The sequence below is a fragment of the Homo sapiens genome, chromosome 1 (assembly GCF_000001405.40).
Source record: "Homo sapiens chromosome 1, GRCh38.p14 Primary Assembly".
Classification (NCBI taxonomy): domain Eukaryota; kingdom Metazoa; phylum Chordata; class Mammalia; order Primates; family Hominidae; genus Homo; species Homo sapiens.
This window is the reverse complement of record NC_000001.11, coordinates 91164349-91166121: the sequence shown is the minus strand read 5'-3', so window position 1 is coordinate 91166121 and position 1773 is coordinate 91164349. Positions and strand designations below refer to the sequence as shown.

The 1773-nt window shown below is 51.3% G+C and overlaps 1 annotated feature.

Annotated features, from left to right (window-relative positions):
* Positions 756-905: an enhancer, noted in NCBI's record as "active region_1302". NCBI's record gives its function as "activates an Ori minimal core promoter by ATAC-STARR-seq in GM12878 lymphoblastoid cells {active_cell/tissue: GM12878}" and the evidence as "EXISTENCE:reporter gene assay evidence [ECO:0000049][PMID:35858748]".

Sequence of the window (1773 nt, the reverse complement as noted above, 5' to 3'; positions counted from 1 at the left end):
CAAATATTTCGTATCTTGTGGCATTTGTTTATTATACTTGGTTAATTCATCAATACCTGACATTTCCTTGAAAAGCAACAACTACAATCACCATCACGAAAAACCCCCTCCTTTCTCTCTCTGCACAAGCACATCTGGAAGCACGCATGCACATGCTTTGCCTCTACTAACTCTGCCTGAAGCAGCAACCAACTCCCCTTAATTCGGTTTCTGGTGCAGCCGGCCAGCCCATTTCTTACCTGTCTGATTTTCTAGGCAGAAGTCTGACCTTAGTCCAGTGCCTTTTTATTCAGGAAAAACTTAACAAGCTTTCCAAGTATTCTTCTTAGAGTCTCTCTCCAGACTTCATGCAGGGCGCAGCCACAGATCCCCTCCCACCAACCCTGGGAGAGAAGGGATTTAACAGCTTCTCACTTTAAAAATTCTCTTTGCAAATCCTCTTTGCCTTTTCCTAATGGCTCAGGAATTTAAAAGGTGTTTACCCTGTTCTTAATACTACTTTGAAGTTTCTGCACAGTAGCCCCTTTGGAATTTAGCATTTATTGTATTCATGCCTCAACCAAAACTAAAATAGTAAAAATCCCATCATGAGTGCTGTTACAAATTCCCTCCTGGCCTCCATCTGAGGTGGACCTGCCCAGGGCCAGAGTAACAGTAGCCGCAGCCTACCAGCAGGTGGCGCCCAAACAAGCCTTATCGCCATTGCTCCATCTGGGACTGAGCTTGGTGCTAGACGGTCACCCTTCCGCACAAAAGCCTCCCTCCACTACAACCCCCCTTCAGCCTGCTAAGGTGTGACTTAGATGTTTCCTGGACTTTGGCTTCTGTTACCGGTAAGCCCTGACATACCTGCCCAGTCCAGCGGGCCCCCTCCTCCAGGGATCTTTCCCTGTGTTGCCCGAAACTCAACCCACCAGCTGGGGCTGACCTGGCTGCCCTCTTCCCTCCTGGATGTCCACAGCCACGTTCTGCTCTGCATGACCGTGCTCTCTCGAACCAGGCTTGAATTTTCCAAGTCTCTCTAGACACAGCGTTGTGGACTGACAGCCCACCTCACGGAGTTCACCACATAGCCAGGCCGGCTTTCCCTGGCCCCTTTCTACCTTGTCCAGGAGCCTCTTACCCCCTGAGGCAGCGTTGAGGCTGCTCCCCCACGTCCACAGTACATGTGCATTTGTAGCCTGGAGCTGACAAGGCCCAATATGATCTGGTCCTGTTCTAACGTCATCTTGTCTGCCCGTCTCAGCCTTCATCTCCACTGTGCATGTTGGGAGAACCTCCAGTCTCTCATAAAAGCCCACTCTCTCACTATTTCAATATTCTTCTGTTTTAGCCCATTCAGCTGCCATGTGGTACCTGGCAGTTTCCTCCAGTCCAGTTCCCAGTGGAGTGTCTGTGCTAAAGTTTCTGAGGCCCGCCAAGCCCATGAAGGCCCGCCACAGCTGCCATCTCCCTCAGAGTTCACCTACATCGTGTGATGTCACCTTCACTGAGCCACAGTGGGCACCAAGGGCTCAATGACATCGGTGGGCCCCTCTTCCCTGTTCCGTGTGGCCAGAATGTTGTTCCCATTTTGTCCCTCTATCATCCTTTAGGAATCAGCATTGACGGCCTTCTCTGTGAACCTGCTCCTGCATTTGTAACAGGAGACTCACCTGGATTGAAGGTGTGGTGCCTTCACCTGGGTCCTGCAGCTCCTCTGGCCCAGCCTCCTCAAGAGCTCCTGTCTCTCAAGCCCACACTGATCCCCTCTGAGCTGGCTACACCAGGCCT